The sequence below is a fragment of the Homo sapiens genome, chromosome 9, assembly GCF_000001405.40.
Source record: "Homo sapiens chromosome 9, GRCh38.p14 Primary Assembly".
NCBI lineage: Eukaryota > Metazoa > Chordata > Mammalia > Primates > Hominidae > Homo > Homo sapiens.
The window spans coordinates 74,764,370-74,779,454 of record NC_000009.12 but is presented as its reverse complement, the minus strand read 5'-3'; the positions used below and the strand labels follow the sequence as shown (position 1 = coordinate 74,779,454).

General features: G+C 41.4%; 1 protein-coding gene across 3 annotated transcripts in view, besides 1 other annotated feature; it reads left to right on the top strand.

Moving 5' to 3' along the window:
• The window catches only part of TRPM6 (transient receptor potential cation channel subfamily M member 6), a 165,427-nt gene that overhangs the window by 108,467 nt on the left and 41,875 nt on the right, over positions 1 to 15,085 (top strand). For all 3 annotated transcript variants that reach the window (NM_017662.5, NM_001177310.2, NM_001177311.2), the window contains exons 24-25: positions 3,379 to 3,572; positions 7,620 to 7,752. In NM_017662.5, the coding sequence (NP_060132.3) occupies positions 3,379 to 3,572; positions 7,620 to 7,752 (327 nt within the window). The remainder of the gene's footprint in view (positions 1 to 3,378; positions 3,573 to 7,619; positions 7,753 to 15,085) is intronic.
• Positions 8,231 to 8,280: an enhancer, noted in NCBI's record as "active region_28467". NCBI's record gives its function as "activates an Ori minimal core promoter by ATAC-STARR-seq in GM12878 lymphoblastoid cells {active_cell/tissue: GM12878}" and the evidence as "EXISTENCE:reporter gene assay evidence [ECO:0000049][PMID:35858748]".

The window sequence follows — 15,085 nt, the reverse complement described above, 5'->3', positions numbered from 1 at the left end:
GTGTTGTTACCTAAACATGGGGAAGACATACCTTCCTGCTGGTTATATGATAGTCATCATCTCTCTTAGCCCAACCATTTTAGGAACTTGGAATATTTGCTGGTGTTTAGTTATAATAGCTATTTTTATAGATCAGATAATAAAAGGATCTGAGTTTTTTGTGGGGGCATGGGGAGAGATAGGGATTCACTCTGTCACTCAGGCTGGAGTGGTGCAGTGGTGTGATCTCAGTTCACTGCAACCTCCGCCTCCCTGGTTCAAGCAATCCTCCCACCTCAACCTCCCGAGTAGCTGGGACCACAGGTGCATGCCACTATGTCCAGCTAAATTTTGTATTTTTGGTAGAGACAGGGTTTCACCATGTTGCCCAGGCTGGTAGTCTGAGATTTTTGTTTATTAAAAATGTCCAGTGTCTCACTGCCCGTTTGCTCTCAGGGGAAAGGCTCACACCCCGCATCTTAGCCCCAGGAAGGTAAGTGGGGGCTGTTGATGGGATGGTGTGATGCTCCTGCTGTGGGTGTCACCAGGAGGCTCTTTGGACTCTTTGGGAAGGAGTGTTGCCTGGTGAGGTGGTGCACTCCCAGTCACTAGGGGTGTACACTCGAGGTTGGGTGAACACCTGCTGCTCATGGTACCCAGTGAGTCTTGCCCAAGCAGGCAGCTGGGCAGAGGCCCTTCTGGATCTTGGAGTCCAAAGAACTGTAGAGCAGCCCAAGGGGTGTGGGTCAATTTTGAGTGGGAGCCAAGTCTGGGAGCCCGTGTGCATCATGTTTGGGTCTGGTTGGCTTGGCCACCACTGAAAGAAGTGATAAGTATGGGCTCCTGGTACCTGCAGATCTCCTGCAAACGGCCCAGAGAACAGCCTTGAAGCCACCTTTCCCTTCCAGGGGACTGACCCTGTCCCTAATGCTGCAGTGGCGTCCAGGGATCAGTGGAACATTGCTTTGAGAACTCTCCTGCCTATTATGGAGGCAGCACAAAGCTGGTGCCCCCTGAGCCAACATGGCACTGGGATGGCTTTTTAGGACAGAACTCTGTTGGTGACAGTCACATCTCAAACATAATAGCTGATTTTAAAAGCCAGCAGCAGCAAAGCCATATACCTGAGTATAGGTGGCAGTTGCAGAGAGCCATGGGCTGGAGAGGGTCAGATGGGGCCTCCCACAGGGGGATCCTGTGGGGGCTGCAGCTCAGAGTGACTCCCAGCTCTGTCACTAGCAGGGCGACCCCTTCCTTCTGGAGCCTTAGCTCTGAAAAGCCCCTGGTGGGGGTGCCCTTTCAGATGCCCCCTTTCCATTTCAAAGGCTCTGATTCTCGATCTTGAAGCCAAATGCAGCACCGACACTCGGCTTCAGTTTCCACTGGGACAGCTGGAGGTCTCCTTTCTAGCCCCAGCCCAGGCGGCCAAGCCCATCCTGGCATCAGAACATGCTGAGCGGCATTTTGTAGGGTGGCACCTTTTTATCCAAGTTGCTAGCTACACATCAGTGTTTAAAGAGAAAAGAGTGACCTTTCATTTTTTTTCTTGAAACTTGAGGAAACAGGATACATAACTACTGATTTGTTTGTTCTTAAAGAAAACTAAATGCACGACTGCAGAGTGCTAGAGGTGTGTATTTTTCATACTGTGGGGGAAAGTATTTGTGCTGCTTTTTGGAGATATACTGGGATGTCTGGTTTCTGTCCCCGGGCCTGGCAGCTACGTCTATTTTCTGTAGAAGGTGCCACAGTGAGACCTGGAGCCACCCCTTCCTGCCCTGGCACGGTTTAGAGCTGGGAGCCTATGGACTCTTGGCCTGTTTCTACCTTCTATTCAACCACTCTGATGTGGGGAGACAAAAAGAAATATAACTTTTTGATAGTGTGGTAGAAACATTGATTTGAACTATTTTAGTAGAAGGAGTAGCAAACAAGACTGTGGTAGTGTATACTTTGAGCTAGATAAATAAAGGCCTCTTTGTGAGCCTCCTGGCCAACAACAACAACAAATGTCCAGTGTCAAAAAAGAAGTTGAGAAATCCTCGCATAGGACAAATTTCTCACGTTAGAGATGAACACACTGAAGACCATACAAAGTGACCAACCCCAGATCTGACTACTTGTCCAGGAGCTGGTTACAGACAATTCTTTATAAAATAATTGAAAAAAACAAAAACCAACCAACCAACCCCCAAAATTTAAATACACTGTTAAGTCGCCACCTGCTGGTGGAAGGCTGTTGTCACGTTGGAGTGAAACTGCTATTAATAGCATGTGCAACCCTAGAGTTTCCCACTCATTGACCAGGCCCCAAAAATGTGCATTTCTGACATGTTCTCAGGTGATGCTGCTGCTGCTGGTTCAGAAAACATGCTTGAGAACTCCTGATATAACCCAGTCATCTATGTTTCAATCACCTTCTTTATGGATTCTGAGAAACTTCTATTCTTACCCAAAGATGGCTTTCTCCAGGATAATCCTGGTTCCTTTTCTTTATCACTGTTCAAGTTATGGGTTATCTGTGTTTTTATTTGCTAAATTTGGCTGCCTTCCTCCAGTTCTACTCTGCTATCTTTCTCTAAATAAACTAAAATTTTGACACTGCAAGAAGAAGAATTGTTTTAAAAAGAAACTAAATTTTGTTAGTCTATGCAAAATATTAAGATGGACATCTTATTTTGTTCCTCTTATATCATATTATATACTTAAAGTTAAGTAGTTAAGGATGGTATATTGTTTCAGAATAACTGTACCTCCAATCATTACCCCCATGGCAAGTTCTATAATATCAACATTCACCATCCTATCTCCATGTTACAACTACAAAGTGACCTACCAATAAGGAGTTACTTTTATTGTAAAGTTAATGTAAATAATTTGTCTGGATTTTAATAGAAGCTCTGTTTTTTAAGATGAATTGATTCTTCTTCCGTTTCTTCACTAACACTGTACTGTTTGCATATTTTAACTGGGATTTTTCTAGCAGTTCTCACATTTGACATTAGGTAGATGATACAGAGGAACATTAAAGCTGTTTCCCATAAACGATGAATTATGGACTGAAAAGAGCTTCTTATGTGAGAAGAGATGGTGACTTGAGAGTAGTGTTGAGTTCCAGAATGGATTTTCTGTTCATTACACTGAAAATGTTGGCATTTTCTTTTCTCTGATTGTAATGTCTGCCTTCTGCTTGTTATTCTGATTAGCATGTTTCATTGTAGAAGGTAGCTAATATATTTTGTTTGGTGGAAGAAGAATTGTAAACACGTGGATAGTATTTGTATTGGGTAACTGCCGGTAATGTCAGGTGAGCCAATCATAAATGTTGGAAAATATAGACTCTGTTACCTTTCAAGACTTCATATTAAAACATTGTCCCTCTCTTACTTCATCTTACAGCAACGTTTACTTAGATATGGAATCCATTTCAAATAACCTGTGGAAATACAACCGCTATCGCTACATCATGACCTACCACGAGAAGCCCTGGCTGCCCCCACCTCTCATCCTGCTGAGCCACGTGGGCCTTCTCCTCCGCCGCCTGTGCTGTCATCGAGCTCCTCACGACCAAGAAGAGGGTGACGTTGGATTAAGTAAGTTGTTCTATGTGAGGCAGGAGAAAGAGAGCAAAAAGTAGGATTCAAGGCAAAGATGCACTGGAGTATTATAAATTAAGTTCAGGGCACTGTGGGGCTCTGGGAGTTCCCTGACAATAGAATATCAGCTGATGCTCTGGGTCTGAGTAAATATATTGACCTCATTATGAGGTCGCAGTGCCTTTTGCCAAGATGAACGGATACTTAGAAAGGGATAGGTAGGAAGAGAATCTCTGCTTGATTGTGTAAAGGCTTTATGTCACATGGAAAACTTGTGTTTTCTCTGCTGACCGGAGAACTCATCAGAATAACTCCTAGAGAGTGGTCATGTGACGTGTACTGTTCTCCTTGTTGTGGAAGATGGAATTCAGACAGAATGGAGTTACAGAAGGCCTTGGGGTCTAAGAGAAAAGATAAGCAAAGCTGGGCTTTAACCAGAGTCACGATCCTCTGGTTCTCTAATCTACTGAGCATGGAGGTGATTCTGAAATGGATGTTTCTTATTTTCAAGAACCTCAACTCAGAAACTGGGTGCGGTAGTGCATGCCTGTAGTCCTAGCTACTCAGGAGGTTGAGGCACAAGAATTGCTTGAGCTCAGAAGTTTAAAGCTGGGGTGCACCATGATCATGCCTGTGAATAGCCACTTCGGCCTGGGCAACACTGTGAGTCAGGATGCGGAAATAGGGGTTCTCACTTGTGTTTTTTCATAAGCTTATATATTTTGAGGTTTTCCTAATTCATCTTGTTTAGCCAGATCTTCACTGCATGATATGACTATCGTACTAATTGTTGTCAGAGAACATTGCGTTTGGTGGTTTTATTCTGTAGTTCCTGTCAAGCAGTTCCACAATTGGTACCAGGCCCATTTCTAGATAGTTCCCAGAAATACAGGAAGCAGGGGGCATAAATGCGCAATCCTCTTCCCAATTCCTAAATCTAAAATACCTCTGAAAACTGAAATCCTTTTTTCTTCACAAATTGGGGAAAGACTCATTTGGCCAAAAAAGGCTGATGAGAATTGATGCGAAGCCATTTATTCTCTTTATTTCTTGTAGTATGAATATTCATTGATGTTGGCTGCAGAAAATAGCAATATGTTTGATTTTAGGGATTGCTTTAATCTTAACTAGGGATTTCACTTCATTTATGACATACTCACTATATTAATTTTCTGAAACTAGAAAAAAACAGTTCTGAATTCTAAAATACTCTGGACTCCAGGAGTTTCAGCTAAGGGGATAGCGGGCTATTTATGTGTTTAGGTAGGTCCTTAGGGGGACAGGTCATCCCCTGCAGTATATTATGGGGTTGACAGGGTGATATGCTTTTGCTGGTGGTAGGTGACTCTGTGAAGTATTTTTTCTCCTCCTAAGTCACTTTGAAGATTTTTTTTTCTTTTTCATACCCTGCTCCCTGACCAAGAGATTCAGCCTTTGTACGAAAGCCAAAGCATACCTGAAGTTAACTTGAAGGCTTATAATTATACTGTAAATTTCAGGCCGCTAATAGAGAGACGTCCCAGGCTTTGGCTGCAGAACCATTGCAACCTAATAGCAGAATGTGAATCACTTGATAAATCCTGGAATTGACTAGGATTTGCCCAGACTTCCTAGTACCACATGAAAGAACGTTTCCTGGGTTCACCTTGGTCTGTGCTTATAGGATGATTCATATAAAACTCAAGTAAAGTTTAAAATGAATTCACCCTGAGCTTTGTGGAACATTGTTGAATTTTCATAACATTGCTTCTGATCCTTTATATTGAGGATAAAGACATTTACACAAGGGGCAGCAGTGCCACCTTGCGGACAATTACAGGAAAGCGCCACATACTGCAAGCTGCGCCTGTCATTGGAATTACTCTGGATTGTTTGCTCTCAGGGATCCACATAAGGTTCACATCATGACACCTGTAAAGTTTCTTGCTCATAGGAGATTCTTTAGTGAAAGAAGACATTAGAGTTGGGTAGGGGGTGGGAGATACCGAATCTTTTCAGTGTCTGAAAATTTTTTTCCTGCCATTTAAATCAGAAAGCACTGTATACCTGAGTTGTGAATACATTTTACAGCTGAATAATACTTTTAGCCATGTTTTCAATTTAAAATTCAGATTTTTTGTCATTAATTTTAACAGAAAATAATGTAACAATTGCATTTTAAATAAATTCTGGAGAATTGTATTAGTTCTTTTTCTCCTAATGTAAGCAAAACCATTCAAGAAAGAGAACTTTCCAATTTAATCCTTTTAGCAGCATCACTTCATTATATATTTTCTAAGTATTATAAACTTGCTTAAAAGATGGTATATTATTCTATTAGGCAACAGTGAAAGCCAAGGTAATAGACCAAATGTGAATGCTGGAGTTTGATGAAGAATTGTGTTAGCCTTATAATATCACTTAGTGATGTGTCTTTTTAATGAGTTATTTATAATTGTGTCAGAGAAGGTATACAGCTGTGATTGGCCATTGAATGGTAATAATAACATCTCATTCTTCAGTAGAAGGATTTAGTATGCACAAACTCTGCGTAACAAGGTGAAACTTTCTTATACTTACTGGATTAATTTCAATAGACTGCCTTCTTCTAATCTTGCATTTAACCTATTGGTTATTTACTGTCATTGTAATAGCTAAAAGAGTTGGAAGACAGGTTGATTAATGAGCACAAATATACACTTTGATAGAAGAAATAAGACCTAGTGTTCAATAGATTGGTAGGGTTTTTGTTGTTGTTGTTGTTGTTGTTGTTTGAGATGGAGTCTCGCTCTGTTGCCCAGGCTGGAGTGCAGTGGAGCGATCTCGGCTCACTGTAGCCTCTGCCTCCTGGGTTCAAATGTTTCTCCCACCTCAGCCTCCTGAGTAGCTGGGATTACAGGCATGGACCACCACACCCAGCTAATTTTTTTTGTTTGTTTGTTTTAAGGAGCTGAGAGTTTAATAGGCAAATAAGAAGGAAGAAGCTCCCCGGTACAGAGATAGAGGGAGGGGGGCTCCAAAGCCGAGAGAGGAAACCCCCAATTTTTGTATTTTTACTAGAGGTGGGGTTTCACCATGTTGGCCAGGCTGGTCTTGAACTCCTGATCTCAAGTGATCCACCTGCCTCGGCCTCCCAAAGTGCTGGGATTACAGGTGTGAGCCACCATGCCCTGCCATCAGTAGGTTGACTACAGTTAAAATTAATTGATTATACATTTCAAAATAGCTAGAAGAGAATAATTCAAATGTTTCTATCTTAAAGGACAGGTAAATATTTAAGGAGATCTGCCTCAGCCTCCTGAGTAGCTGTGACTACAGGCTTGTGCCACCAATTGCCCTGATGTGATTATATGAATGTATCAAATTATCACATGTATCTCAAAAATAGGTACATCTAATATGAATCAATTAAAATTTAATTAATTTTAGAAAGTGTTGGCAGAGAGAAAAGAAGACAGATTCCCCATTTTCATATAAACGCAGTGAATTTTTCTTAAATGTGAAAGCATTCTAACCTGTGAAAATATTGAAGAGAAAGAATTCTATATATGAGTCATTTTCAAAGAATGAGTAGGAGAGACCCAGGCTGGTGTTTCCAGTTCTTTCTTTTCTTTTCCTTTTTTGAGACAGGGTCTCGCTTTTTAGCCCATGCTGGAGTGTAGTGGCGTGATCACAGCTCCTGCAGCCTTGACCTCCCAGGCTCAAGCCATCCTTCTGCCTCAGTTTCCTGTGTAGCTGGGACCACAGGCGCCTAGCTAATATTGAAATTTTTTTGTAGAGAGAGGGTCTGCCTGTGTTGCCCAGGCTGGTTTCTAATTCCTGAGCTCAAGCGATCCACCCCTGCTCAGCCTCCAAAAGTGTTGGGATTACAAGCGTGAACCACTGCGCCCAGCTCCCAGTTGTTTATTGGTGCTGTTTCTGCATTAATATTAGAAATAGTTTGACAAGGTGACAAACTTATCACAACAGGCTATAGTTTCTCATTTTCAATACAAGTGGAAGAAAAGCCACTCATGCCCTGAGGTGAATAATGATTCTTTCTGTGTTTCATACTTATTTCTATAGAACTCTACCTCAGTAAGGAGGATCTGAAAAAACTTCATGATTTTGAGGAGCAGTGCGTGGAAAAATACTTCCATGAGAAGATGGAAGATGTGAATTGTAGTTGTGAGGAACGAATCCGAGTGACATCAGAAAGGTAAAAGATATAAATCTTTTCCATTCTGAAACCACTAACACAACGTGATTCTGCTAGAATATCTAAAGGTGTAGAAAGATCTTTCAAATCCCAGAGGTTTGAGTTCTTTATAATTTGAAACATTTAACAACATATAATATTCATGTAATCAAAGTATATTTATTAAGCATCTACTATATTCCAGGCACTCTTTTAGTTACTAGGAATAAGTGGTTAATAAGACATAAGAATCCTTGTCCTCATGGGACTTACATTCATGCGCGCGCGCGTGTGTGTGTGTGCGCATGTGTGTAGGTGGTGAGAGAAATGAAGTGGATGGAGAACAAAACCTAAGTAAGGAACCACAAAAATAGATTTGTAATTTATTATCAGGCAGTAAAAGAGCTATGAAGAAAAATAAAGTAGCTGGAGAGAACAGGAAATGATGGTGGCGTGAAATCTAGCGGAGCTGGGGGTTGAGTGGACTGTTTAGATGGTCTGGTTCTAGAAGGTCGCTCTGAGGGCATTGAGTGGAGGCCTGAAAGAAGTGAGGCAGTGGGCGAGGCAGGGGCGTCTGGTGGAATAGCGCCCCTGGCGGAAGGAACAGCAAGCGCAGCCGCCTGAGGCCACATGGTGTGTCTGGCAGCAGCCAGAGGGGAGGAGGAGGTAGATGGAGGGTGCTGGTTGGATGGGGAGTGGGGTTCTCAGGGCGTCTGACCGGCGGTTGTTGTGCAGTGGAGTTGGCGGCTGCTTCACTGAAGTGGGTGAAGACAGAATAGGAGAAGCAGAGACTGCAATTACAGGTGGCTTTTGGGAGAAGTATTACGGTGCAGGGAAGCTTGGTATGGGGACACGGTAAGGTTTTTTTGTTGGATTTTGCGTAATGTGGCAATAAATAAAACAGCATGGTCCTGAAAATGATCCACCAGCAAGGGAGAAACTCAGGAGTGGAGGGAGGAGGCCATTTGCTGAAGAGAAGTCCCTAAGAAGCTGGGAAAATGGAGGGTCTGGCTTTTTGCCCGAAGCAGGGGAACGGGACAGGATATGGCCAGAGTAGACGGGAAGGCAGACAAGGTTGGTGGGGACCCAGGTCTCGAGGCAGAGTCGTCGGCTGGGTGTGCCTATGTGTGGGATTTTGAGGGAGGCAGGCGGTATGGGGGACATTCAGAAGTTTGAGGAAAGAGGAGGAGACACACTGGAGAGACTGAACATATTAGGAAGCTATAATGTGATCTGAGTTACTGTTGGATTTATTACTAATTGTGGGTGCATGGCATCGTGTGAAAATATGGAAGGCTATATGTGATGAAATGCATTTTTTTAAAACAGAATTGTTCTTGTAAATGGAAGCAAATTGACAGAAGTTAAATGTGTTCCTCTATTTTTGAACATATATGGAACTGACTATGATGTATTATATCTAATTATGCATGTTTTTTTCTGATGTCAAATATCAGGTAGAGAGATGTGAATCCTTAAATATGGCTTTACTTAAACTGAATCACATGAAGAACTTTCTAAATGGTTCACTATGGGCATAAGTCATGTTTATATAAATCTGGACTTCTCTATTGGTACCATATTTATATAAATCTGTGTTTCTGTGCCTGATTGAATTTCAGATTAAATTTAATATGGAGAAAAAATTGAATATCAAAGATTGAGTCCACAAAAATTGATTTCACCTACATAATATCTTTAGTCCATAGTTATATGAATTTCTCTTTCCTTCTTCTACACGTTCTGCGCCCCTTTATAGCTATGCTCATTGAGTCCGACGGGCAAGCTTGGTTCTCCGTTTTGTATGAAGCATAGACTCGTATTAGGAGCTTACGGAGCTGGGATGAAGTCCTGCTTTAGGCACTTACTAGTTATATGGACACAGGCAAATTTACTGAACCTCCTTGGTTTCCTTCCTCCCTCCCTCCCTTCCTTCCGTCCTTCCTTCCTTCCTTCCTTCCTTTATTTCAACGGAGTCTCACTCTGTCACCAGGCTGGAGTGCCACGGCGTGATCTTGGCTCACTGCAACTTCTGCCTCCCGGGTTCAAGCAATTCTCCTGCCTCAGCCTCCCGAGTAGCTGGGATTACAGGTGTGTGCCACCACACCCGGCTAATTTTTTGTATTTTTAGTAGAGACGGGGTTTCACCGTGTTAGCCAGGATGCTCTGGATCTCCTGACCTCATGATCCGCCCCCCTCGACCTCCCACAGTGCTGGTATTACAGGCATGAGCCACCATGCCAGGCTGTTTTCTTATTTGTAAAATAGACATGGAGGCCGGGCAAGGTGGCTCACTCCTGTAATCCCAACACTTTTAGAGGCTGAGGCAAGTGGATCACTTGACATCAGGAGCTCAACACTAGCCTGGCTAACATGGCAAAACCCCGTCTCTACTAAAAATACAAAGAAAATTAGCTGGGAGTGGTGGCACATGCCTGTAGTCCCAGCTGCTCAGGATGCTGAGGCAGAAGAATCACATGAACCCAGGAGGCAGAGGTTGCAGTGAGCTGAAATCGCACCACTGCACTCCAGCCTGGGCAAGAGAATGAGACTGTGTCTCAAGCAAACAAACAAACCCCAGAAATAGCCCTGCTTCTTAGAGATGCTGTGAGGATTAAATGAGATAATATAGATGAACTGTGTGGCAGAGTGCTGACTCATAGTAAGAGTACAATGAAAGTTATCTATTATTAAGTAAAAATGGGCCCCTCAAAATTGTTAGTATAATTTCTTTTTAAATACAAATTCCCCTCCAACCCTTAAGGAAAGGGGGATGAACAGATGAGATGTGGACAGGATAGCCTCCCTGCCTCCCCAAGATTATGAACTGGGATAAGTTTATGGAGAGCCGTTTACTCTAAACTATAAACTAAGGAAGGATTTTAGGTGGACAAAGATATGGACAGATTTACCTTCAGTAATGGTGTGGATTTGAGGGGGTCAGAATAAGAACCACGAAGACCATTTGAGAGAATAGTGCAGTGCACTGATGTGTCCACAGCCTCGCCAAGGTTGGTGGTGGTGGGATTGAAAAGAAGGGGTGAATATGACATTTAGAAAGAACAATTCATTAGGCATGTTAAGGATCAGATGTGGAGCTAAGGGAGAGCATAGAGTCCAGCACGACTTTCAGAAAAGAGTGGGGTAATCAGGTGAAAGGTGGCACCACCGAAATAAAGAAGGCACAGGAGGTGTGAGAGAAAGCAATAAGTTGTAGATTTCTTGAGCTTGAGATTCTTGTAGTATATTTAGCCAGAGATGTTCAGGAGGCTTTGGATGTGTGCATCTGAAGCCCCCGGGGAGCATTTGAACTGGTGGAGGAGCTCATCTGCTTATTGGGACAGTCAACTGTAGGAGTCATCTGCCTATTGTAGGAAACTAAAAGTATGACAGAGGAAGCGATTATGCCCAGGAAGCAAGAGTGAGGGAACCTAGTGAGCTGAGAGTTAAAACCTGGGAGGTGCCAACACCTGTAATGGGCAAAGAGAAACTCATGGAGAAGACCATAAATAACCATTCAGAGGAGTATAAAGAGAACTAGAAGAAGGCGGTATCATAAACTAAGGGAATATAGAGTGAAAATTGAGAAGCAGACATAAACAATTCAATGATAAAATCCTAAAAACATTAACCATCATAAAGCATTGTCTTTCTCTTGGATTCTTTTCTTGGGATTTGAGTAGAGGGTTAGAAATTAAATGGATATGTACCGTCTGAAAATTATGGGTACTTCCAAGAGATTTAGAATTTGGTTATGAAGCTCTAATTTATTATTATTATTATTTAGATAGAGTGATCAGAGCTCATGCACCCTTGAAATCCTGGGCTCAAGCGATCCTCTTGCCTCAGCCTTACAAGTAGCTAGGACTACAGGCACATGCTACCATGCTGAGCTAACTTTTAATTTTTTCATTTTTATAGAGGCAGGGTCTTGCTAATGTTGCCCAGGCTGGTCTTGAACTCCTGGCCTCAAGCACCCCTTCTGCCTCAGTCTCCCAAAGTGCTGGGATTACAGGCGTGAGTTACCGCATCTGAGCCTGCAGCTCTAATTAAACTTCAAAATAGAATCTATTTTCCCTCTTGATGGAGCTATCTCAGTGGCACTGTTCTTATACTGTCATCTTTGTTGAGGTCATTTATATGGACCTCATAAATGAGGTATGGGAAAGAGGGGAGAATATTTCCTGAGGTAACTGAGCAATAGTTTGAAGAGGGAAGGGAAAAAGATTCAGAGGATTTTGCACATTAGCCTACTTCTGAAGAAGAGATTGCTATATCCTTCTCGAATCAAGTGAGTTGCGACAGTGGAAAAAGAGAACATAGCAAGGCTGTTTTAAATCTTACTTTCCCTATTTGGGACTCTAACTTCTTTTTTGATTCTAGTAGTGTAAGTCAGCTTTTCCCTTTCTCTGTTCTGTGGAGTAAGATGCTTTTAGGTGTTTTTCCACATTAAGCATGTTTGGTACATTATATTTCGGAAATGCTGTGGTTTTAAAAAATATTTAACATAATGTGCATTGTAATTCATCAGTACAGTTATAGCTTAAGCAGGTCCCACCACTATTTGACCATGAAACCTTACTGAGGAACATCTGTGACACCTCCCAGCATGAGAATTGTTGTTCATTTAGTACTTCATGGTACTCTAGGAAACCCCAAAAGAAATTGCCTGGATCCTAGGTGAGTTGCTGAGAGGTACCAGAAGGCAGTGGTCAATGCCACTGAATATGGAGTCGGCCTGTCTAGGTTTGATGCCTGACATTTTCATGGGCCATGTGACTCTGGCTATGTGACCTAACCTCTCTTTTTTTTTGAGACGGAGTTTCGCTCTTGTTGCCTAGGCTGGAGTGCAATGGCATGATCTCAGCTCACTGCAACCTCTGCTCCCTGGGTTCAGGTGATTCTCCTACCTCACCCTCCCCAGTAGCTGGGATTACAGGTGCCTGCCACCACGCCCGGCTATTTTTTTTTTTTTAGTAGAGATGGGGTTTCACCATATCGGCCCTGCTGGTCTTGAACTCCTGACCTTAGATGATCCACCTGCCTCAGTCTCCCAAAGTGCTGGGATTACAGGCATGAGCCACTGTGCCCGGCTGACCCAGGCTCTTTTCTATGAAAGGATAATAGTAATTCCTACCTTATAGGGTTGTTACATGGATTAAATAAAACAGTACAGGTAGAACCTTTATAAAATGCTTGGCACATAGTGAGCACTCAGTGAATATGGTGATTTTCATGATGATTGTAATTATACTTGCCGTTATCTCATTTTAAGGCATCTTGCCTAAAGGCCCATAATAAAACAATTACCATTCTCATCTTTCTTCCATCCTCGTACCTTGCATGGAGGAAACTAAAATTATAAATTTTATGTGTCAGAATGACTGAAAGGCTAAATTAATGTCGTTGGTGGTCCAGCAATATAATTAAAATATGTTTCACGGGACATCAAGTTTTAGAAAATAAGTCTATAAAAGCAAGGGACCTGATTTGAGGGTGACCACGTTGTTTGTCTAACAGGTTTCTATTGTAGCATGTTACCTGTGGCTGTGAATAGTTGCTGGTTTCTATTGTATCCATTCGATGTGACTGCTGCTAATGGAACTTAATGAGTCTCCATTACTGGTGTTCAGACTGTACTGTTTTTGAATTAGATGAAACAGTTCACTGGTTGGAGAGGCTCTAATTAAGCATATTTGGAAGAGAGTATACATATATTTTGTGCTGTTTCCCACATCATCCTTGCCAGTTCTAATTTTGCAGATTCCAGAAGGTCAGGAAGCATTTGTTAAGCCTCTATTGAGTTATAGAAGTTGAATTCTATAGCAGAAGCAAGAAAGAGAGGGTTCTACTCACATAGAATATAATAAAAATGGAAGGTGCCACTCTTTTTATCTTTAATTTCTATTTACAAAGGTCCCAGAAAGAGGAAGTGGAAGATCTTTCTTTCAATCCCTGTGACTTGAGATGTGTTCTAAACCTGATGGGAAGTCTAACACTATTTTGGGAAGTGCTTGTTACAGCTGAGTGTTAAACTCTTCATGGCATAATCACGACTTCTCCCTGCCCCCAGATAAGAGCGGGAATCATTTTTCATTTCTGCAATGGTCACGTCAGCCATGACACAATTGGTTAGGTTCCTTCCCATGCTGTTTCTTTATTTTAATCTTGTTTATTGAAGATTTTCATTATTGAGAAACTGAAACTATACCTCCTCTCCCCCAAATAATAGAATGAAACAAGGGAAGAAAAGAAAGAAAAAACAATGTGATATGCCAGAGTTCACTGTGAAAATTTTGGCTTTTTAAAATTTAGTCTTCCACATATTTCCAGTTAAAATGATACTATTTTGTATCCTGTTTTTTTTTTTTTTGCTCTTAACACATCAAAAATATTTTCTCCAATTAATTACATATACTTTGTAAATATATTTTAACTATTGTTTCTGAACTTAAAATTTTATACCAAATTTGAAAACATAATGCCGAACATAATAGACATCCCCAGCCCTGCCTCTACCACTAGAAATAGCCCAAGAAAATAATTATCAACAATGTATGATTTTTAATGGATGCATAATATTCTATCTCACAATATAACAAACATATCTGTCTGCTTTAGCATAGTAAGATTATGTTTCCTTTATAATATTGTGTCCCTATGTTCCATCCTTGCTACCACTGAGTTGTTTCACTTTTTCTTTTTTTAATTTGCTAGGTTAAAACAAATGCTGTTATGATATAGATGAACTCATTATTATCTTAATTTTCATCTCTGATTACATAATGAGGTTGACTATTTTACTGGGTTTCCTTACCTTTTGTATTGTATCCTTTCATCTGTTCATGTCCTTGGGAGTCTTTGTAATTTTTTTTCCTCAATAAATTGTGAAAGTTTTTGCTTAATCAAGAGATATCAATGCCTCATCAAATTTATTAGAACACAGTTTTCCAATTTATTTTTGTTTTAAGCCTTTGTATTCTATTTTTGCGTACAAGTTTCTTTTTATGTAATCAACTCATACATGTTGTAATTTATTCCATCACTCATGAAGTTTAGATAGCTGCATTAGTTTCCCAGGCTGCTGCAGCAAAATACCAAAAACTATGTGTCTTCTAACAGAACTTTATTGTCTCAGACTTCTGGAAGCTAGAAGTCCAAAATCAAGGTGTTGGCAGGGCCGTGCTTTCTCCGATGTTGCTATCCTTCCTTGCCTCTTCTAGCTTCTGGTGTTTGCTGGCAACCGTGGATGTTCCTTGGCTTGTAGATGCATCATTCTAGTCAATGGCCATTTTGTCCCTGTGTGTCTTCATATCGTCTTCCCTCTGTGTGTGTGTATCAGGATTTCACATTA